This window comes from Homo sapiens, chromosome 7 (genome assembly GCF_000001405.40).
Source record: "Homo sapiens chromosome 7, GRCh38.p14 Primary Assembly".
Taxonomy (NCBI): domain Eukaryota; kingdom Metazoa; phylum Chordata; class Mammalia; order Primates; family Hominidae; genus Homo; species Homo sapiens.
The window spans coordinates 145781291-145804638 of NC_000007.14; the positions used below are offsets into that span (position 1 = coordinate 145781291).

General features: G+C 36.3%; 1 long non-coding RNA gene across 1 annotated transcript in view; it reads right to left on the reverse strand.

Moving 5' to 3' along the window:
• Window positions 1–362: 362 nt before the first annotated feature.
• The window catches only part of LOC124901765 (uncharacterized), a 28654-nt gene continuing 5668 nt past the window's right edge, over window positions 363–23348 (reverse strand). The window contains exons 2-3 of the long non-coding RNA XR_007060575.1: window positions 3214–3291; window positions 363–508 (exon numbers count right to left, since the gene is read on the reverse strand). This is a non-coding gene — a long non-coding RNA (uncharacterized LOC124901765). The remainder of the gene's footprint in view (window positions 509–3213; window positions 3292–23348) is intronic.

Genomic DNA, 23348 nt, shown 5'->3' on the forward strand with positions numbered 1-23348 from the left:
CAGTACCATGCTGTTTTGGTTACTGTAGCCTTGTAGTATAGTTTGAAGTCAGGTAGTGTGATGCCTCCAGCTTTGTTCTTTTGGCTTAGGATTGACTTGGCAATGGGGGCTCTTTTTTGGTTCCATATGAACTTTAAAGTAGTTTTTTCCAATTCTGTGAAGAAAGTCATTGGTAGCTTGATGGGGATGGCATTCAATCTATAAATTACCTTGGGCTTAATTTTTCAGCAAGGCTCTATGGCATTCATGCTTGTACAAGAGGCAGATACACGTGGATTATTCATTTCACTCTGTTTCCATAAGTTGCATCATCTAGCATCAGCATCATAACTAGCTCTGTGTACCTAGTGTGTGCTCGGCATTGATGTATGAATGACTAGCATAATCTCCCTGTTGCTTATATAATTCTAGTGAATAATAATGCAGTTTTCTATAATGTTTAAATATTGGCTTGTTTCTTAATACTTTTTTATTATTTTCTGATCACCAATAAAAATATCACCAATTCCTGAAAAATAAATAAAATAAAAATAAATAAAAACAATTTATGCCAATTTGGGTCTCAGAAATATATGAGGTTAAATAAGAACTTCGTTAGTTTTATGTTTTTTTCACTTACTACCATACTCCAAACATTTTAATATAGTAAAATGATTGTTAATAAACAGTGCATGTTATTCTATCAACTGAATACAGAATAATTTATTTAGTATTTTGTTATTATTAAACATTTTATCTGTTTTATTCTCTACCATAAAAATAATACTGTCATAACACTTTTTGTGCATATTTATTCACAACTTCAGTAAAATTATAGAATACATTCTCAGCAGCAAAATTGCTTGCTCAAATTTTAAATATACTTAGAATTTTTTAAGTATATTGCTTAAGATTTATTCAGAAATGTACTATTTGACCTTGAGTATAGAAAAATATATATCTTACTAATATGGCAGGTGAAAGGTGGAGGTTACACTTGGCTTCCTTTGGGTTTTTAGTTTGTGAGGTTAAACATGAAAATCATGTTAATCAGCCATTTATTTGTTAGTCATTTTTGTAAATTTTTTGTTCTTGTTTTACCAGCTGTAATGCTATTTTATCTCTCTCCATTATGATCAATATTTCTTCATCTGACTACATAAATTATGGAAAAGGAAAAGGGATTGTATACTAAAATAAATCCTATATGTTAATCTCTGTAACCTACATGCTCCTTTATAGTATGCACTTTTTGTGTTCAGATAATGTCTGTGAGCTACTTTCATGTTATTGCTTGTATTTGAAGCTTATTTTTTTATTGTTGAGTAGCCCATAGCATGTACATATCATACTTTTTCATTATTGGTGGCCATAATATCAATGTTATAAAAATAAATAGAAGTAATGAAAATTTGGAATGCATTGCCACAATTGTGATGTCTATAAACAGATAGTTATTTTTAGTTCTATAATTATATAATTCTATAACTTGATTGCATTCTTGAGTCTTCATTTGTGTATGCAGTCAGCACAAAATTTTCAACTCAGGTACAGAGAATTTTGTGCTTTTAAATTTGCTATTGAGTAAATCATCAATTTAAAATTTTTAGATAGATCCAAATTTTACCTGAAGCACATCAAGGATATTTTCTTCTCTCTTACATCATCATGAATAAAAGTGCATTTTAACTTCATAGCTTTGCATCTGTAATAAAGGCCAATAGTCCTTGTCTGGTCTATAGTTTCCCTTGTATTTGTTTACCGTGATGATTTACAAAGATGATTGGACTCATAGTCTGTTTTCTCAGCATAGATAAAACCAAGCATTAGTTCTAGCATGGGATAATGGATGCATGTTTAAAATATTTTAGAAAAGGCCAGGCGTGGTGGCTCATGCCTGTAATCTCAGCACTTTGGGAGGCCAAGGCAGGCAGATCACAAAGTCAGGAGTTCGAGACCAGCCTGGCCAAAATGGTGAAACCCCGTCTCTACTAAAAATACAAAAATTAGCTGGGCGTGGTAGTGCACACCTGTAGTCCCAGCTATTCAAGAGGCTGAGGCAGGAGAATTGTTTGAACCTGGGAGGCGGAGATGCAGTGAGCCCAGATCGTACCACTGCACTCCAGCCTGGGTGACAGAGGGAGACTCTGACCCCCCAACCCCCCAGAAAAAAAATGAAAAAGTTTTAGAAAATATTGATATTAAATATGCAAATGTAATAATTTTACTGGTTTGACAAATGCGTGAACCTTATAAACCACCACTTATTTCAGATATACAGTATTTGACCAACCCAGAGAATATTTTCATGCCTCTTGCCAGTAATTTCCTTGAAAAGAAACTGCTTTTCTGATTTTTTCTAAATCATAGGTAATTTTTTCCTATTTTATATCTTCATAAGTGTGAATTATTCATTATATATTCTTGTCTGAATTCTTTGTCTAGGACATCGTCCATGAAGTGCTTTCACGTCATTGAAAGAATCTGTCATCTATTTCTCATTGTTGCTGAGTACTCATCTGTAGTGTGAATATTCCACAGTTTGCTCCCCTGGATGGACACTGGGTCATTTCCAGCTTGGGTTAAGAATAAAGTCAGCTGGGTGCGGTGGCTCACACCTGTAATCCCAGCACTTTGGGAGGCTGAGGCAGGCAGATCACCCGCAGTCAGGAGTTCGAGACCAGCCTGGCCAACGCAGTGAAACCCCGTCTCTACTAAAAATACAAAAATTAGCCGGGCGTGGTGATGGGCGCCTGTAGCCTCAGCTACTGGGGAGGCTGAGGCAGAAGAATCGTTCGAACCCGGGAGGCTGAGGTTGCAGTGACCTGAGATCATGCCATTGCACTCCAGCCTTGGTGACAGAGTGAGACTCCATCTCAAAAAAAAAAAAAAAAAAAAGTCTGTATGAACTTTTTTACATAAGTCTAGTATGTGTTGCTATGGCTTGAATTCTCCTATAATTCACATGGGGAAGAACTGATCCTCAGTATCTCGGGATGTGACTGTATTTGAAGATAATGTCTTTAATCAAGTAAGGTTAAATTGTTACAGGTAGTTAGGCGTGAGCGGGCAGGAGAGGGCTCTCCCCGCCACCCACTAGAAGTCTTGAGTGATGGTTCAGTAATTGTTGCATTGCCTCTCTAAAAGTGATACATTGGCAGCCGGTGCTAGGGAGAGGCCATTCAGTGATGGTCCACACCTGTTAACGTTAAAAACTGTTAATTAGAGGCAGACCTCATGGAGAAGAAATTTCCTGGGCGTGCACATTAACAGACAAAAATAGCGGAGTGTGATCTTCGGCGTATCCTCTACCTGAAAAAGGAAGAAAGCCTCAGATAAGCATGCGTACAATTTACTGAACACACTACATGAGCTCACTTCCCAAGGGTAAGAAGGGCTCTGGCCGGGCGCGGTGGCTCATGCCTGTAATCCCAGCACTTTGTGAGGCCGAGGCGGGCGGATCACGAGGTCAGGAGATAGAGACCATCCTGGTTAACACGGTGAAACCCCGTCTCTACTAAAAAAAAAACACACACAAAAAAATTAGCCGGGTGTGTTGGCGGGCGCCTGTAGTCCCAGCTACGCCGGAGGCTGAGGCAGGAGAATGGCGTGAGCCCGGGAGGCGGAGCTTGCAGTGAGCCCCGAGATCACGCCACTGCAAGAATCCAATCAAGGGAAAGAGGCTATAAAGGTCATAGCATCACGGTTAAACGGGGCTTTTTACCTTCTTTAATCTTCATGAGCCCTCTTGGATCTCTTCTAAGTGAACTTTCCTTTCTTTCCTGTTCTAAGGCCTTTTAAGTAAACTTCCACTCCTGCTCTAAAATGTGCCTAGGTCTCTTGTTCTGCTTTATGCCCCTCAGTCTAGTTGTTTCTTCTGAGGAGGCAAGATTTAAAGTTGCGGCCGACCTGTGCGGATTTGCTACTGGTAACTCCTGGTAACTCCGGTCTCTTCCACCACTAACAAAATGAGGTCCTTGAGGTGGGCTCTAATTCAGTATGACCGGTATCCTTACAAAGAGGAGATGAGGACCTAGGCACACTCAGAGGAAAGATCGCTTGAAGACACAAGGAGAAGATGACACTGTACAAGCTAAGGAAAGAGGCCTCAGAAGAAACCAACCCTGCTGACACCTGGGTCCTGGACTTCTATCCCACAGAACTGTGAGTAAATACACTTCTGTTATTTAGACCATGCAGTCTGTGATACATTGTTATGGCAGCTTTACCAAACTAATACATGTGAATATACATATATGTTTTAATTTATCTATGAGGAAATATGTAGGAGTGGAAATTGTTGAATTGTATATTGCTGTACTTGCAATTATTCAAGAAATGGCCACAATTTTTTTCCAAAGGGTTTAAACACTTTTGAAATTCAAGCAGCAATATATGAGCCCTCCAATTATTCCACATCTTCTGTAATATTTAATATTGTTTGTTTTAACTATAGCCATTTCGCTGTGTGTGTCATTGTATTTCACTGGGACTTTAATTTATATTTTCGTATGACAAATGATGTTTAGAACTTTTCTATGCACATCCATATATCTTCATTTGGAAGGTGTTTCTTTCAGTGTGCTTCCCACTCTCTATTGGCTTGCTTTCTCTTTTATTATTGAGTTGTAATATTTCTTTATAAAATCTGTATAACATTTCTATCAGATATGAACTTTACCATTTTTTTTTTTTCAATTTTGTTGCTTGAGTATTCACTTTCTGAGTGAAAGGGAATGGGAGAAGAAGGCATTAGCCCAGTCTATAATGGCACACCAGCCTCCTGGGCCTGTAGCGTTTTTGTATGGTTCTCATCACATCAGACATAAGCATAGCAATTGGAGGGACCACCTTGGTTAGTTCTTCACATCCCATTGTTAAACTCTAGGAATTGTCTGCCTTATATACTGGTCAGATCAAAATGCTGAACAAGAATAGTGGGAATCCAGACTCTTACCTCAGCCGTTTTCTTAAAGCGGTAATCTTTTGCTGCCTTTGGGAATACTATACTGCTTAGTCTTTACTAGCAAGGAAGGTTCATGCAACTCCAAAATTTCCCATTTAACAGGGACAATTAAAACTGGATAAGAGTGGGCTTAGCAGATAACCCCTAAGGAAAGAAAACCGCAGTACACTCTTTTCACGCATATCAGCTATTTCAAATATGCATTTAGGTAAAGGCTAATTAATCCCTGAAAAAATCTCTCCAGTCACATTTTGTGGTTTGTACCTTTACAATGCATTTGTTCCAAGTCTATCTCTGAACCCATCAAGTTCCATGTTAGTACCTTTCAGCACTTTTCCCATCTTTTGTAGGGTTTGCTGTCCACTGAACCCCAGCATCTTACAATTTTGAGAAGTTTCACATATCACCTCTTGGTCATTTCATCCAAATCATTGAGCATTTCCTATATATGATTAGTGATGGCACTAATACATAATTAGGAATGATACTAATTTCTGTAGTTCTGCAGGAATGAAATTGTGTTTCTGGTTTCTGACATTGCTAAAGTGGGGAAATTCCAGGGGTTTCTACTTCATCATTTCCACCATATTGGCCATTTCTCCATGGGTCAGAGAGTCAATGTGGATATTCTGAAAATTGCCGAATATTCCAATTAATATAACTTCAATGATACATTCAGGAAATGAGGAAATAACCACAGAGTGAGTCCCTACCTGGCCCCACGTGAGTTGAATTTTGACTCAGACTCCGTCTATCACCTGACACCAAAAGTACACACTTTGCCTAGTGAACCACACTGGCATTTTTGACATTCAGGAATTAGTGTCAGTTCAGAGCCAGCATCTACTAATCTTTGAAAGGTCTTGATATCTTTCTTCCCATTGCGCATTCACTCTAGTAAATGGGCCCTAGTTCCTTAAAGGAAGATTCATGATCTATGCTGTGGCAAGGCTGTCAGGTCTTTCTTTGTATGGACCTGGCTTCCCTTTTAAATTTTAATAAACTGCTTTTGAAGTTTTAAATTTACAGAAAAATTACACTTTAGAATTCTCATATACCTCGCACAATTTCCCCTATTAACATCTTAACTGATCTGGTTAACTTGTTATAGCTAATAAGCCAATATGGAAACATTATTATTAACTAGAGTTTGGAGTTCAAATTTCCTTCTTTTTTAGTTTTGGCATTTTTTTTTTTTTTTTTTTGAGATGGAGTCTCACTCTGTCACCCAGGCTGGAGTGCAGTGGTGTGATGTTGGCTCACTGCAACCTCCGTCTTTAGGGTTCAAGCAATTCTCCTACCTCTGCCTACTGAACAGCTGGGATTTCAGGCATGTGCCACCACACCTGACTAATTTTTGTATTTTTAGTAGAGATGGGGTTTCACCATGTTGGCCAGATTGGTCTTAAACTCCTGACCTTCAGTTATCCACCAGCCTCAGCCTACGAAAGTGCTGGTATTACAGGCATGAGCCACAGTGCACACTCAAATTTCCTTAGTTTTATCCCCAATATCTTTTTTCTGTTCCACTATCACATCCAAGATACCACAGTACATTTAATTGTCATGTGTCTTTAACTTAGTTTCTTAGATTTCCTTGTATTTTATGACACCAGCAATTTAAGGCAGTACTGGTTAGGGGTATTATAGAATGCCACTGTGTTGCCTCTGTTGATTTTTGTTTTTGTTTTTATTTTTTGATGTTTTTTCATGACTAGACTGACAATATGGGAGGAAGTTCACAGAAATAAAGTGCCATTTCACCACTCATACCTAGGGTACATACGTCAAGATAATTTAACAATAGTGTCCTTTATCACTGGACTGAGGTGCTTTTATCAAGCTTCAGTGCAAAGTGTCCCTTTTTTTCTTATTCTACTCAGTATACTTTGGAAAAAAGTAACTATATATAGTGTACACACACACACACACACAAATATTCACTTTTTATGCTGTGAAGTTCCAAAGCATCTGACAAATGTATAATGTCATGTATTCACTGTTAAAACAACGTACAGAACCATTTTACCACCTGAAACCCCCTGTGGTTAACCCGTTCATTTCTTCTCAATCCCCAAAACTCTTTGGTAACCACTGATCTTTTTCTTTTCTCGACAGTTTTGCCTTTTCCAGAATGTCATTTAATTGCAGTCGTGTGCTATGTAGCCTTTCAGACTTCTTTTGCTTAGCAGTGTACCTTTTTCATGGTTTCATAGTTGATTTCTTGTTACTGCTTTTTAATTTTCTTACAATTTTCTAGCAATGGCTTGGAACTGCCATGTTTTTTTCTAAGTTGGTAGAAGAGATGTAATTTTTTATATCGTATTCTTCAATTAGTTGCATTATTTCCAGGGCCTTGTGCCTTCATCTTTCTTGGCTCCCTGGTTTGTTTTGCTTTTTTTACTTTATATTTGAGAATTATTTGGGGGTAGATGCCTAGCAGTGGAATTAGTGAGTCATAAGTTGAATACAGCTTTAACTTCATTGAATATTGTCAAATTGTTCTCTAAATTGTCATTCCACGATACATTTCTACGAATAGCACTTAAGAATTCCCACTACTCATCCACACCTGGTATTATTAGATGTTTAAATATTTGCCTATTTAAAAGGTTTGAAATAATCCCTTGTTATTTTAATTTGATTGGCACCTTAGTGAATCTATGCATTATGTTTAAATGTACATATTCACATTTGAGTAATATTGAGTCTTCCTACCTGTGAATATGAAATATCACATTGTTTTGATAGTTTAAATTATTTCATCAGTGTTTTACAGTTTTCTACAAATAGATTTGTACATACTTTTTAGATTTACACCTAAGGTTTTCATGGTTTCCTGTGTGTGCATGTGTGTGTGTGCGTGAGTGTGTGCTGTCAATGGTGTTGAATGGATGAGGTATTCTATAAGTATCAATTAGATCAAGCAGATTGATGGTGATATTTCCTTCAGCTATATCTTTTTTTTTTTTTTTTTTGAGACGGAGTCTCACTCTGTCACCCAGGCTAGAGTGTAGTGGCATGATCTCAGCTCACCGCAACCTCCACTTCTGGGTTCAAGCGATTCTCCTGCCTCAGCCCCCTGAGTAGCTGGGATTACAGGCACCCACCACTACACCTGGTTAATTTTTGTATTTTTAGTAGAGACAAGGTCTCACCATGTTGGCCAGGCTGGTCTCAAACTTTTGACCTCAGGTGATCCACCCGCCTCAGCCTCCCAAAGTGCTGGGATTACAGACGTGAGCCACCGCCCCTGGCCTTCAGCTATATCTTCACTTATTTTCTTATTGCATGATCTGTCCATTAACAATACAGTTGAGTTGAAGTTGCCAACTCTAATAGGGAATTTAAATATTTATCTTCCCAGATATATTCACTTATCCCTCACATTATTGACATGCCATTGTTTTATGAATACATGTTAGGGATTGTTATGTCTCATGGAAAATTGACCTCCTTATTGTTATGTGATATACCTCTTTACTTTTAGTAATTTTCCTTGTTTTAAAACCTTTTTTGTCTAAAATGGTAATATGGCTATTTCACCATTTTTTCAATTATATTAGCATGGTATATCATTTTTGCCCCTTTGTTTGCAACATTTCTTTGTATTTATGGATTTCTTATAGCCAACATAGAGTGGGTTTTGCATCTTACTTTTTGAAATGCACTCTGTCACTGTCTTTTAATTGGTGTATTTGTACCATTCACATATAAAGAGATCATTGATATATACTGTATTAATATCCTTCATGTTTGTAACTGTTTCAGATTAATTTCACTTGTTATTTGTTTTGAATCTCCCACTCTTTTTTCTGACTTTTCTGGTTTTAATTGAGCACTTCCTATAATTCTCTCTCCTTTCTTAGCATAACAGTTATATTTTATTTTTGGCTAGTAGTTACCCGGAGTTTGCAATATATATTTACAACTAATTTAAGTCCAATTTCAAATAGCACTATACTGCTCCCCATGCAGTATACCTTTTAAGAGTATTCCCAAGTCCTCTCTTTAGTTCCTTATAACATGACTGTCACATCCAGTACATTATTATTATTATTAACTTAAAGAAAATGTTAGCCTTTATTTAAACCAAAAATAAGGAAAATAAAATATTTTATTTTACCTTTATTCCTTCTCTTATGCCCTTTCATTTTAGGTAGATTAGAATTCTGACCTATATCATTTTCAATTTCTCCAAAGAATTATTTTAATTTTTCTTATGGAACATGTCTGCTGGTAACTTTTGTCCTTAATTTTTCTTTGTGTGAAGATGTCTTGATTCTTCTGATTTTGAAGGATAATTTTGCTAGACATAGATTTCTAGCTTAGTGTTTTGTTTATATTTCAATGCTTTAAATAGTTTTTTCTTTTTACATGGTTTCTGATGTGAAGTCTAATGAAATTCTTATCCTTATTCCTCGATTGATAAAGTGTGTATTTTTTTTTTCTGTCTTCTTTCAAGATTATCTCACTGTCTTTGGCTTTCTATAGTTTAAATATGGCATAACTCTCTGCAGAATTCCTGATGTTTATCCTGTTTCTATGAGTTTAACCTGTTTCTCTGCGCTCCTGGTTCAGTGGTTTGGTGTCTTCGTTTAATTTTAGAAAATTCTCAGTCACGACTACTTCAAATATTTATTCTGTTCCTTTCTCTTTTGTTTCTCCTTCTGATATTCCCATTACACACAATTATACCTTTAGTAATTGTCCCACTGTTCTGGCATATTCTTTTCTTTTTTTAAAATAAAATTTTCATATTAGTTTAGGAAGTTTTAATTGAGTTATGTTGAACTTCAGATTCTTTTCTTGGCCATATCCAGTTTACTGATGAGCCTATCAAATAATTTATTCATTTCTTTTCCAGTGCTTTTGATTTCCAGCATTGCTTTGATTCTTTTTTAGAGTTTCATGTCTGTGATTACATTACACATCTGTTCTTGCATGATGTTCATCTGCATGTTTCTATTAGAGCCCTTAACATATTAATCACAGTTATTTATATTCCATGGCTGATAATTCCATTCTGTGTCATATCAGATTCTGGGTCTGATGATTGCTTTTTCTCTTTAGGCTGTGTTTTTTTCCTGCCTTTTAACATTTCTTGTACTTTTCTGTTGAAAACCACACAAGATATATAAGGTAATTGGAAGTGATGTAAATAGGCCTTTAGTATGAAGCTTTTTGTTATCCGGCTAGAAACAGATATGTGTTTAACATTTGCTGTAGTTTTCGGTGCCAGAAAAAGTGTCTTTCCTCAATAGTCCTTGTTTATTTCTCCTCTCTTCCTTTATGGTTCCCTAAATAACTCCTTCTTAAATGGAATGTGAGCTGGCAGCTCTTTAAGTTGTCACCCACTGTCCTGGCCGTGGACCCCTGTAGATGTGGTGGTAATTTGTGGAGGAGAGGAAGTGTTCCATAATTTTATGATTACGTTTAAGTTCTTTAGTGGGCTGAGCTCCTGGACTGTAACCTTCAGAATTCATTCTTATCCTTTATTTGTTTCCTGTTATCTAATTCAGGATGCTGAGATGGATGGGAGCTGCCTAATCACAGTTTCCCCAGGTAGGAAAAGGCTCTGGTACAGTTCATTCCCTTGGAGGTTAGGTCTTTGTTATGGAAAACGTGCTGGACACATTTTGAAATGGTGACTGTGTCTCTCATCCTGCCAGAAACACAAGAGTATTTTTCTCAGATCGTTACAATGAGAATCTGGTTGGGGATCCTGGAAGTAATGTCTATGCATGTGTCAGGACCCTGCTAAGACTAGGCTCCCAGGAGTCTTTCAGTCTCAAGCTGGTCTACATTCAACCTCCAGTAAAACTGCCACTTAAGTGTTTTTGCTAGCTTTGCCTCTGGAAGCTTTAGCTTCGAGTAAGGTGGTCTCAGCTGTAACTCTCTGTATTTGCCTGTTTCTTCAGATTCAGGGGTATTAGTGTGTCCAGTGACATCAGTGCTCTGATAAATCTAAGAAAAATTGGTTTTCATTTGACCAGTTTTTTCTAGTTGTAAGGAAAACCAGATTTCTAAGCTCTTATTATAGGATAGCTAAAATTAGAAGTCCTGGACAGATTCTTTTAAAACCTGAGAAAAACAAGCAATGGGGAAAGGATTCCCTATTTAATAAATGGTGCTGGGAAAACTGGCTAGCCATATGTAGAAAGCTGAAACTGGATCCCTTCCTTACACCTTATACAAAAATCAATTCAAGATGGATTCAAGACTTAAACGTTAGACCTAAAACCATAAAAACCCTAGAAGAAAACCTAGGCATGACCATTCAGGACATAGGCATGGGCAAGGACTTCATGTCTAAAACACCAAAAGCAATGGCAACAAAAGCCAAAATTGACAAATGGGATCTAATTAAACTAAAGAGCTTCTGCACAGCAAAAGAAACTACCATCAGAGTGAACAGGCAACCCACAAAATGGGAAAAATTTTTTGCAGCCTACTCATCTGACAAAGGGCTAATATCCAGAATCTACAATGAACTCAAACAAATTTATAAGAAAAAAACAAACAACCCCATCAAAAAGTGGGCAAAGGACATGAACAGACACTTCTCAAAAGAAGACATTTATGCAGCCAAAAAACTCATGAAAAAATGCTCACCATCACTGGCCATCAGAGAAATGTAAATCAAAACCACGACGAGATATCATCTCACACCAGTTAGAATGGCAATCATTAAGAAGTCAGGAAACAACAGGTGCTGGAGAGGATGTGGAGAAATAGGAACACTTTTACACTGTTGGTGGGACTGTAAACTAGTTCAACCATTGTGGAAGTCAGTGTGGCGATTCCTCAGGGATCTAGAACTAGAAATACCATTTGACCCAGCCATCCCATTACTGGGTATATACCCAAAGGACTATAAATCATGCTGCTATAAAGACACATGCACATGTATGTTTATTGCAGCACTATTCACAATAGCAAAGACTTGGAACCAACCCAAATGTCCATCAATGATAGACTGGTTAAGAAAATGTGGCACATATACACCATGGAATACTATGCAGCCATAAAAATGATGAGTTCATGTCCTTTGTAGGGACATGGATGAAATTGGAAATCATCATTCTCAGTAAACTATCGTAAGAACAAAAAACCAAACACCGCATGTTCTCACTCATAGGTGGGAATTGAACAATGAGAACACATGGACACAGGAAGGGGAACATCACACTCTGGGGACTGTTGTGGGGTGGGGTGAGGGGGGAGGGATAGCATTGGGAGATATACCTAATGCTAGATGACGAGTTAGTGGGTGCAGTGCACCAGCATGTCACATGTATACATATGTAACTAACCTGCACATTGTGCACATGTACCCTAAAACTTAAAGTATAATTAAAAAAAAAAAAGAATGAAATAACTCCCTTGCTTCCATTTTAATCAAAGGCTCTAAGTCTATTAAGTGACTCAGGTCTGAAAAGTGGGTTAGACAGTATAGTTCTCTATTATGAAAACTTATGTTGGGACTTGACTACTACATTTAGTCTTCCCTCCCGTTCCACCACTTACATAGATCAGGCACTATTGCGGCATGATAATCATCCTTTTCCTTCCTGAGGACAATATGAACAGTTAGCCTGCTCCAGAGATCCCCAAAGTCCCGGATATTCTGATTACTAGTATGACCCTCATGCTATTTATGGTAAGTGATCCCCTCTTGTGGTTAAGTGGCTGTCATTTGGCTTCTGTGACCTCAAGATCCAGTCATCCCATTGAAATCAAGGAACCCATCTCAGTTGTAGCATCTTCCACAGTCATACCTGACTCACAAATCAGAACAACCACTGGGTTTTTAAGTAATGTCCATGCTTCCGTCACTAATATGTATCTCATCAGTTTACTGGAGGGAGTATTTTCTTGGCCTTCTTTTGAGATGTGATTGAGGTTGATGTGTAAGTTGCAGAAACTAAATACATTCCAACCTTTCTATCTCCTGAAGACTTATGATCATTTCCTCCAAATCCAATTTCTGTCAGGAAAAGTCTTTAGTACCAACCACATTAAATGTAGGCCACCTTTAAATATAAGTTTCAGTTAACCAAGCAGGTATTTGCTGGAGCTACTTAAAGCTGCATGAGCTAACAGACTAAATTCAGAATCTTTAGTAAGTGCACATTCTAATTGTTTAATTCTAATCTCCTTGGTCTAACACCCTTGGAATCCACCCTCATACCTGTTCTCAAGGTGTCTGTTGACATATATTTGCAAAATCTTGAAATATTTTGTGTGTAAGCTATTTCCTCTTGGATCATAGTGTGTACCTGGCCTCCAGGATCATGCTGATATTTGATTTTAGCTATGAGTCTGGTGCAAAGAGGAGGTGATAGTGGTGAGTTTGAGAAAAATAAGTATCCCTCTACAAAACATATGCCCTGATGAGGTTATCAATGAGTTTTCAGGAAAGTAAGACCAGTCTCCTTAGACACAGATGACCTGCTACTTCCACTGTCAAGAGAGGCTCAGAGTGACTGAGTCTCAGTTTCAGTGGAGTCCTGTTAAAGCTTTTATTTCAGTTTTCAAGGTCTCATTCCTTTCCAATCAAAACTCTAAATTTCATATGAGAAACTGGACAATATTATAAGTTAAATCAACATTCTAATTCTGTAACCACCACAATTAATTTTATGTTTGATAATTAATAATCTTGGCTCTATGGCTGTAGGAAATGAGAGATTAGCCAGGCACGACTAATTAGCTCACACCAGTAATCCCAATACATTGGGATGCCAAGGCAGGTGGATTGCTTGAGCTCAGAAGAGACCATCCTGGGCAACATAGTGAGAACGTATCTCTACATAAAACACACAAAAAGTTAGCTGACCATGGTGGTGCAAGCCTGTGGTCCCAGCTGCTCAGGAAGCTGAGGTGGGAGGATCACTTGAGCCCAGGATATCAAGGCTATAGTGAGCCATTTTCATGCCACTGCACTCCAGCCTGGGTGACAAAGCAATACCCTGTCTCAACAAAAAAGGAAAGAAAAGAAAGATGGAGGGAGAGAGGGAGGGAGGGAAGGAAGGAAAGAAAGACAAGAGAAAGAGAAAGAAAGGAAGGAAGGAGAAAAGAAGGAGAGGGGAAGAAAAAAAGAAAAGAAGGAAGAAAAAGAGGAAAGAAAGAAAGAAATAGGAAGGAAGGAGAAAAAGAGGGGGAAGAAAAAGAAGAAAGAAAAAAGGAAAAGAAAGAAAGAAGAAAAGAAAGAAAAAAAGAAAAGAGGAGAGGAAGGGAGGGAGGGAGGGAGGGAAGGAAGGAAGGAAAGGAAGGAAGGAAGGAAGGATTACTGCAGTCCTACCGTGGAAGATATCTGGTTCTTAGATCACGATTCAAACTTACAGTTTAATAATCTGAACTGCCAGCAACTAACTTTAATTGTCATATTACTATCATAAACCACAGATAATAACTTGATTAATTATGATGGCAGTGTACACCATAGATTATTACTATCCCATTTTCTATAAGCAAGATGTTCGGCAGGAATGTATCAAAACCAATTCAAAAATTCCATAACTGAGGGACAGTGTTCTAGGTCCACTGTTGGCATGAATTCTGTATCAAAGTTCTTTTAACAGGCTGAAACCATACTGGTTATACAGGCCAGCAGAGATTTGCTAAAATGTAACTTTTCTCAGTTAAGTATTCTCTTTCTTTCTTTCTTTTTTCTTTCTTTTTTTTTTTTTTTTTTTTAAAGAGACAGGGTCTCACTCTGTCACCCATGCTGCAGTGCAGTGGTGTGAATGCAGCTCACTGCAGCCTTGAATTCCTGAGCTCAAGCAATCCTCCCACCTCAGCCTCCCAATTAGCTAGTACTTCAGGCACACACCACCACGCCTGGCTGATTTTTAAAAAACAAACTATTTGTAGAGATGAGATCTTGCTATGTTGCTTAAACTGATCTCAAACTTCTGGGCTCAAGTGATCCTTCCACTTCAGCCTCCCAAAGCAGTGAGATTACTGGGATGAGCCACCACGCCTGGCCATATTCTCTTAACACACTGTTTATAATTTCAACCTTTTGCACATGTCCAGACATCTTTTGATTTATTTCTGTTCAAAATTCTTACTGCCATTTATTAAAGTATATATTATTAGGTGTCACAGGTATTTATTATGCAAAAAATATAAGCTCCACAGTGTCAGAGATGTTGGCCTCCTTTCCTTACTGAATTGTCCCATCTCCAGTAACTGTGACTAGGACTTGGCAGGTCTCAATAAACATTTGTCAAATAAATCTAAGGAACTCTATTCCAAACGAATAAAGAGTGACTCCTAAAGAAGGACAAGCTTGGGTTTCCTTCTCAGGATTAGGACAAATTATATTCCCAGCATTTTTAAGAGACACATGTTTTTAGAAGTTTGATGATATGTTTTACTGAGAGATGAAGCTAAGAAAAATGATATTGCCTGTATGAAAGATTTTTGGCTATAAATATTGAAAGTATTTCTGTGGGGATTCATCAGTCATTTGAGAAAAAGGAAAGAGGCTTTTTAAAAATCATTATTGAATTCTTTATATTAATAATAAAATGTGCTGGTAAAGAGCTGATGATATTGCAATGAAGTAGTACATTTAGAGAATGTTTATATGCTTTTAGCTTCGCTAAACAAGGTAATATTTCTGACACTGAAAATTAATATATCCTTAACATCTTGCTTTAGAAAAATTATTTCATCTGTACATTGCTTATATTTGTCTCTTCCATTGATGTCCTGGCCTTGTTGCCCAGGGCAGAAGGAGTAAAATAGAACTAGTAATGGTATTTTTTGCAAAAAGTAATCAACCATAAAGACTATAATTGGACACACAAATATAGTCATTGCATGATTAATTACTTTGGTGAATCAGCTGCCTATATACATCATAAAAATATTCAAAGGTGACTAGAACATAGTGTACCAAAAGCAGACTTGCCATGAGCATAATCATAGCCATCAGTGGAGTGTTTTCTATATTTCTCAGTTTTCACCATTTTTCTCCCTGCTAATCCTCTACATTCACTACATTTTAAGATTAATGTTTTGATGATTAAGTGGTAGCAAGGCAGACATTAGCTGAGGCAAATGTCTTTTCAAGTTTCCGTCACACACACTAACGATTAAGCTCAACGATTTATTTGGCAATGTGTGCATCTGTTGTTGATTGATATATTACTGAGCTCATTTTTATATTTCAATAATGCATCAGTTGTTTAGTAGGTGATATATCAATATAATTGTTTTCTCAAGTTCAAATCCATTCAATGCCATCTATAAGATTCTGGAAAATACTGCAGAGAATGAAATCATATATATGAAATCTGCTTAAAAGACAGTTTCCTTTTTACTCTGATGTTTTTATATATGGATATGAAGTAAGTAACTTTTGCAGTCATCCTGGAACCTTGATAGAAATCAGCCTGAGAACAAAGCTGACACATTTCTTAAGGCAGATCACAGAGATAAGAATCTTGGTCATGGGTGACATCATTAAGCTCTTGAATGAAATAGAGATAGAATGTGCCCTGAATCTGGACTTTACGCCTCCACAAGCTTCTTCTCTTGTTCAAAAGCCTACAGTGTCTTTCAGTTACACATATGTTCTTATTAAAATCATTTAGATTTACAATGAAAAACGTTCAATTTACTTCTCACAGTCTAACTCAGAGTGATTGTTATATGGTATCAGTACCCCAAACTACTCATTTCAAAATAACGTAAAACTTCCGATATCTTTGTGAGGCAAGAAAATCGGGTCTGGAGGGAGGGAACATAAGGCCGATTCACACATCAGCTATAACAGGAAATATCCTCTCCAAAGGGTGTACGCCATAAATGACTTTGTACTTTACTTCATCCTCTTCATTAACATAGGACGTACCCAAAGTATCTAATGGAGTCCTAAAAATTCAGTAACGGGGCTTGAGTTTCTATGCTCAGGCCCACTCTCGCACTGTGGAGTGTACTTTCCTTTTCAATAAAACCCTTCATTCCTTCCTTGCTTAGTTTGTGCGTTTTGTCCATTTCTTTGTTCAAGATGCCTAGAACCTGGGCACCCTCCCCCGGTGATATTTGCTTTGATTGAAACCTCTGTTGGATGGTGCATCCTTAAAGAAGGGAAAATTTTGAGCAACTGCTTTCCTAACACCCAAAACCCTATGCAGTGATGGGTGACGCAGGAGTGAGCATCTACAAGCCGGGTCATGAGAATTCCTTCCCTGAATTTTAGAATTGGCTATAAAAAAATTCCAGACTCAGTCTGCTTTTTCCAAAATATCATAAAGATGTGACTCTGGAGTGTTTGTGGTCGTGATTTCTGACAGAAAGATTTAAGAAACTGCAGAAATTCATTCTCACTGAGGAAAAAAGAAAAAGATAAAAATAGCAGAATTAGCCAGTCAGAAAATCATACAACAGTTTGAAACAGAATGTTAGACATGACATGTCTGTATATTGAAATCATGTTATATATTAAGAGAGAGAAGAGAAAGTAGAGCAAACATGAATACCCTTCAGCCAAATATAAAAACCATTCAATACATCAAAATAACATTTCTAAAATTAAAATATGTTAGAAAAAATACATTAAAACCTTCAGTGGATTTGACCAAGAGTTGATCAGGTACAACTAAGACTAGAAATGGTAAATTGGAATATAGATCTGAGGAAGTCACCAAAAAGCAGGACAGAAATAAAAAATACAGGAAAATATGATAAAAAGGAATGAAATCATGTCCCTTGCAGCAGCATGGATGCAGCTGTAGGCTATTATCCTAAGTTGATTAACGCAGGTACACAATATCACATGTTATCACTTATAATAAATATAAATCAAATATCACATGTTATCACTTATAAGTGGGAGCTGAACTATGGGTACTCGGACATAAGGATGGCAACAATAGACACTGGGGACTACTAGATGGGGGAGGAAGGGTTGAACAGCTAACTGCTGGATGCTATGCTTACTACCTGGGTGACAGGATCATTCTTAGCCCCAACCTCAGTGACACACAATTTACCCATATATCAAACCTGCACATGTACCCCTTGAAATTAAAGTTGGGGAAAAATAGTACTAGTCAGAAACAGAAAAAAATTAAAAATATGAAACAGTGGAAGTGTTATAAATGGAAGACAAAAAGGAATAAAACAAGATTTGAAGAATAGAGAGTGGTGAACCATGAATATTTAAAACAAATTGGTATGTATGAATATTATTAAGTGTTGAAAGAAAAAGTACTCCCAGACTGAAGGAACATATTGTGTCCTAAGCAAAACTAATAATAAGGCATTCACCGCTGATACAAAAAAAACAATAACAAATCATAATAAACCTGAGAAAATTAAAGACAAAATTTAAACAGCTACCACAAATAAAAGACATTCATTTAAGGGAAATAAAGTTGAGACTAACTACAAACATATCATTAATAAGAAAAGATGCCAAAAAGCCATGAAGTAATATATTCAAAGTACTGCACAAAATTTTAGTAAAAAAGTCATGAAGATGTACTCAGAATTAGAGTGGAGGAATAAACTATAGTGTTCTATCCCACTGTAGGGTGACTGTAGTTAACAGTAATATATTATATGGTTTCACATAGCAAGAATGAGGATATGGAATGTTCCCCAGCACAAAGAAATGATAAATGTTTGAGATGATGGGTGTACTAATCACACTGATCTGATTACTATACATTATTTGTATAGAAACACCTATATGTATCCCATAAATATGTACAATTATTATATATTAATTAAAAATAATATATATATTTGATAGATTTTTTTGCCAAGTGCTAGAAACTTTTCTGGATCTTAGGCAAGCAATTGTCCTCAAAAGCATAAATCAAGCTAGAGAGATAGACCCAGACAACCTAACCCTACACACAGGATACATGTTTTAATAGATGCATTAAAAATAAATTAAAATGGGCAGGAAAACTAGATGCATTGATAAAGAAAGAAATTAGCAAACGTATTAGTACATCTAAATTGTCATGGATAATAAAATATTAATGTATAATATTGGGTGCTCAGGTTTGAAAAATGTCAAAAGCAAACTTTTTTAACATTGTATTCTATATATTATGAATATCCTACAAAAAGTACATAAAATATTGTGACAATTACCTTAAAAAATATAAATTTGTAGCTAAACTTGTAAAAAGAAAAAACAAATAGGCACCTAAAGAAACATCTGAAATCTGAAAAGTGCATTATCTTTCTTTAAAATTAAGAACATGTTTAACATACACCATATAAAACATGATCAATATAAAGCACCAACACGTCTCTCCTTTTCCTATGATGATGTGACTTCAGGCTTTATCTGTGCAGTGAGAACAACTACAATCTTGTCAGGGTGACAGTTTATCATTTTGTTTTATTGTTTTCTCCATATTAATAAATTTCTTTTTAAATTTTAACCATTTTCTAAATTTTTGGCTGTGGTCATTGTTGTTTTAAATATGCCATAAATTCTTCTGGGTTTTTCTGTTTTAAAGCTGATGCCTTTCCATTAATAGTTTTTTTCAGTAGGTGTTTACTTATAAACCGTTTTCTCATATTTGTATAAAAACTATATTTCACTCACAATCTTGTATGATATTTTGCTGGATATAAAATTTCAAGCAGCATAACTTTTCTTCACTATTTTGAAGATACTCTGTCTTCTGTTATCTTCATATACTTTTCAGTGTAAGTGTCTGACACTAATCTAATCATTATCCCTGTCTTTTAGTTATCTGAAAGCTTTTAAGATTGTATTTGCTCTTGATTATTTCAGCTTCATTATCAAATGTATAGATGTGGATTTACTTTTACTGCACAGAATTCAAGGTGCATTTTTGACGTGGGATAATTATGAGTCAAATATTTTAAAAGATTTCCGGATTTATGGCAGGTAATTAAATAGCATAATTATTGGTTACTCTGTTTTCCCTGTATTACTTTCCCACTTTACCACCATTATTTCCTTTATCTTTCTAGTAAGCTTCTTCTGCCTGAATCTTCTTTCTGAGAAAACTCAGTTAGATAGAAATTGTAATATATGAAGTTTTCTTTGCTTACTTCTTGCTTCCATGACCAGATGATATGGAAGTGCCCCAGTTCTTAAACCTTAGTCTTCTACTCTTTACTATCTACACTCTCTTTCCCAGTCAACTTATCTTATTCTTGGCTTTGAATACCATCAAAAGTCAACATCTTTGTGTAAGAGGTACCCAGAGGCGGGGAAAAATTTGAAGTCTGCGAAACTTAAACTCTCTTTTTGAAACCTGGATTCACACACCCTGCTGCCTGTATGATATCTCCACTTGGAGATAACATATCCAAAACTGAACTCCTGAATTCCTCCCACCAACAGAATCACCATACCCCTCTTCCTTTTCTGGTTTCTGGCTACTCAATGCTTCCAACTGTTCACACCTAAAACTTTGAAGACATCTTTTTTTTTTTATTTCTTTTATACACCACATACAATACTGTCTTCTCTACCTTCAAAGTGTATCCAGAATCTGACCAGTTTTCTGCAACTCCTGTTACCACCTTGGTCAAGGACAATATTTCTCCTGCCTACATTAGCACAAGTGTTCCCTAACGTATCTCTGTGCTTTTGCACTTCCCCATCTGAAATCTGTTTCCTGTAGCATATAAAGTGACGCTTCAAAACTTGTCTCATCATGCCATTCCTCTGTCCAAAATACCTCACTGACTTTTTACCACCCTCAGAAAATACAAATACCTTATAATAGCTTGCAAATGCCCACCAGATTTCTGTGACCTGTCTAACCTCCTTTCCTGTCTACTTCCTCTTATTCACTCTAATCTGGCCAAAATGTTCCCTCTTCCTAAAATGTTCTGCCCTCAATTACCCTAATGGTTATTTGAGGTTAATAGGTTAATATGGTTATATATAATAGGTTATATGAAGAAGGTTATTTGACCTTCTTCAAATATTTTTACAAATGTCACTTTTCTTATGGACCCTACGCTTGTTACCATAGTTAAAATTGCAAACCACCTTTCTCTCATGCACAAATATTTCTATACTTCTCTCATACTTTTGGTTTTTGAAAACACTTATCACCTATTAAAATATCTTTAACTTATTAATTTTATTATCTCTTTCCATCAACTGGAAGGACAGATACATTGGGCAGAGATGTTTGTCTTTTTTTTTTATAATGTGACTCCAGCACTCAGGACAGTTCACGATACATAGTAGATCCTTAATTAGTATTTGTTAAATGAATGAATGAAGAATGGATGTGTGTGTGTGTGTGTGTGTGTGTTTCCATGAAAAGTTCTGAAAGGATGAATGTGTAGCTGATAATGAGATAACTGGGTATCTTTTAAATCAGGAGAATGAAGTCATAGAGACAAGTATATGAAGATCTAGGAGGGAATAATAGTAAAATAATGTCCTAAAAGAAATGGAAAGGGGTCGAATACAGCTCATTGATCCAAAATGATGAAGTTTCAGGCAGAGACACCCAAGTCCAGTTGACAGTACATATACACACCATCATTAAAATGCACACAGTTTTGGATATACATGGACCAGTCAATAATGTAAGTTAAAATAAATAAAATATACTAATATCATCATCTTATAAATTATGGTGCTGAGTTACAAGTTAAACCAAAAATATTACAAAAGCAACAAAACAGCCTATCTCTTGATTTCTTAGAACTTAGTACCTGAAAATAATATGCACCAGAAAGCAAAAAAAAAAAAAAAAAAAAAAATCAGAACAAATTTTGTAGTACTTCATTGGCTTCATTAAAATGAATTTAATTGTATCAAGGTATGTAAATACATATTTGATTCTGGATATTTTCAACAAAGGATCTATAAGAACCGTGTGAAAACATATCTCATCCTAATTTGTGGTTGATGTTATTTCCATTGACTTCCTTCAAAAACATTGCTGGTGTTTCTTATACTCAATTTTCATCCTGAGGATTTCCCTGTAATTGCACTTGGTGAGAATTTCATATTGAGCAATTATCAGTATCACAGTGCTAATTTGAGTAGAAAAAAATTGTGTACATGTTACCATTTATTAATTAAATATACAAATGGTCCCCTTCCAGGTTTTTATGATGATCTGGAATTTACCCCAGAAATTAATTGCATTCCTTTCTACCATCACTAACTAAATTATTCATGAAAGCTTGTAGAGATTAATTCTGAATTATTATATTACCAAAAGAGAAGGTCATATGATCAAGTTAAAATGGAAATGGCAAAAGAGGGGAAATCTCTAATCATTCTGAAAGAATTATTTTTGGGTTATCACCTTGTTTGATTTTATTGCTTCTATGCAGTTTTTCCTTTAGAAATTAGATGCAGATGGTTTCAGCAGAAATGGCTGACATAGCTTATCAAAGATGAGATAGCTTCATTTATCCAGAATTTATGCAGAAAAAAAGTTTTTCTAAAAATGAAGCCAATAAACATGAAATAAGTAAACCAAAATATTTCTGACCATTCCCATATATATAAACAACAATATAAAAATTATATACACTTATAGAAAAAACTGTGAATGCATTTAGGTCATTATATGACAAAATGCAAAGCATTGCTATAATTTAAAAGGTTATATAACTAAGACTACATCTTTATTTTTTAATTTTTTTGTATTTTTTTTCCATGGGATAATTTCTGGTTCATGGACTTGCAGATAATACTCAGAAAAACATGTTGAAATAGGATATTTTTCCATGCATGCCTTTGGCAACAGAAGAATTATATGTAAATGAATGTGTTTATGTGTATCTCTTGTCTAAAAATGCAAGTTGGTATAGTATTTGGAGCAAAAACAGAAATAATGATTTATTGAAATATATTTTGTTTTATATTTATTTGGTAAAGAGTATTTTTATTACAATTATTATTTTTTTTTTTTTTTGAGACAGAGTCCTGCTCTGTCGCCCAGGCTGAGTGCAGTGGTTTGATCTCGGCGCATTGCAACCTCTGCTTCCTGAGTTCAAGCAATTCTCTTGCCTCAGCCTCCCCAGTAGCTGGGATTACTGGCACGTGCCACCATGCCCAGCTAATTTTTGTATTTTTAGTAGAGATGGGCTTTCACCGTGTTGGCCAGGCTGGTCTCGAACTCCTGACCTCATGATCTGCCCCCACCTCAGTCTCCCAAAGTGTTGGGATTACAGGCGTGAGCCACTGCGCCCTGCCTTCATTTGATTTTTATTTTATTTCTTTGATACAGGGTCTTGGTCTGTCACTCAGACTGGAGTGCAGTGGTGCTATTAGGTCTCACTGCAGCCTCAACCTCCTAGGTTCAAGAGATCTTCTCCCCTAGCCTCCTGAGTAGCTGAGACTACAGGCATGTGCCACCATGCCCAGCTAATTTTTGTATTTTTAGTAGAGATGGGCTTTCAC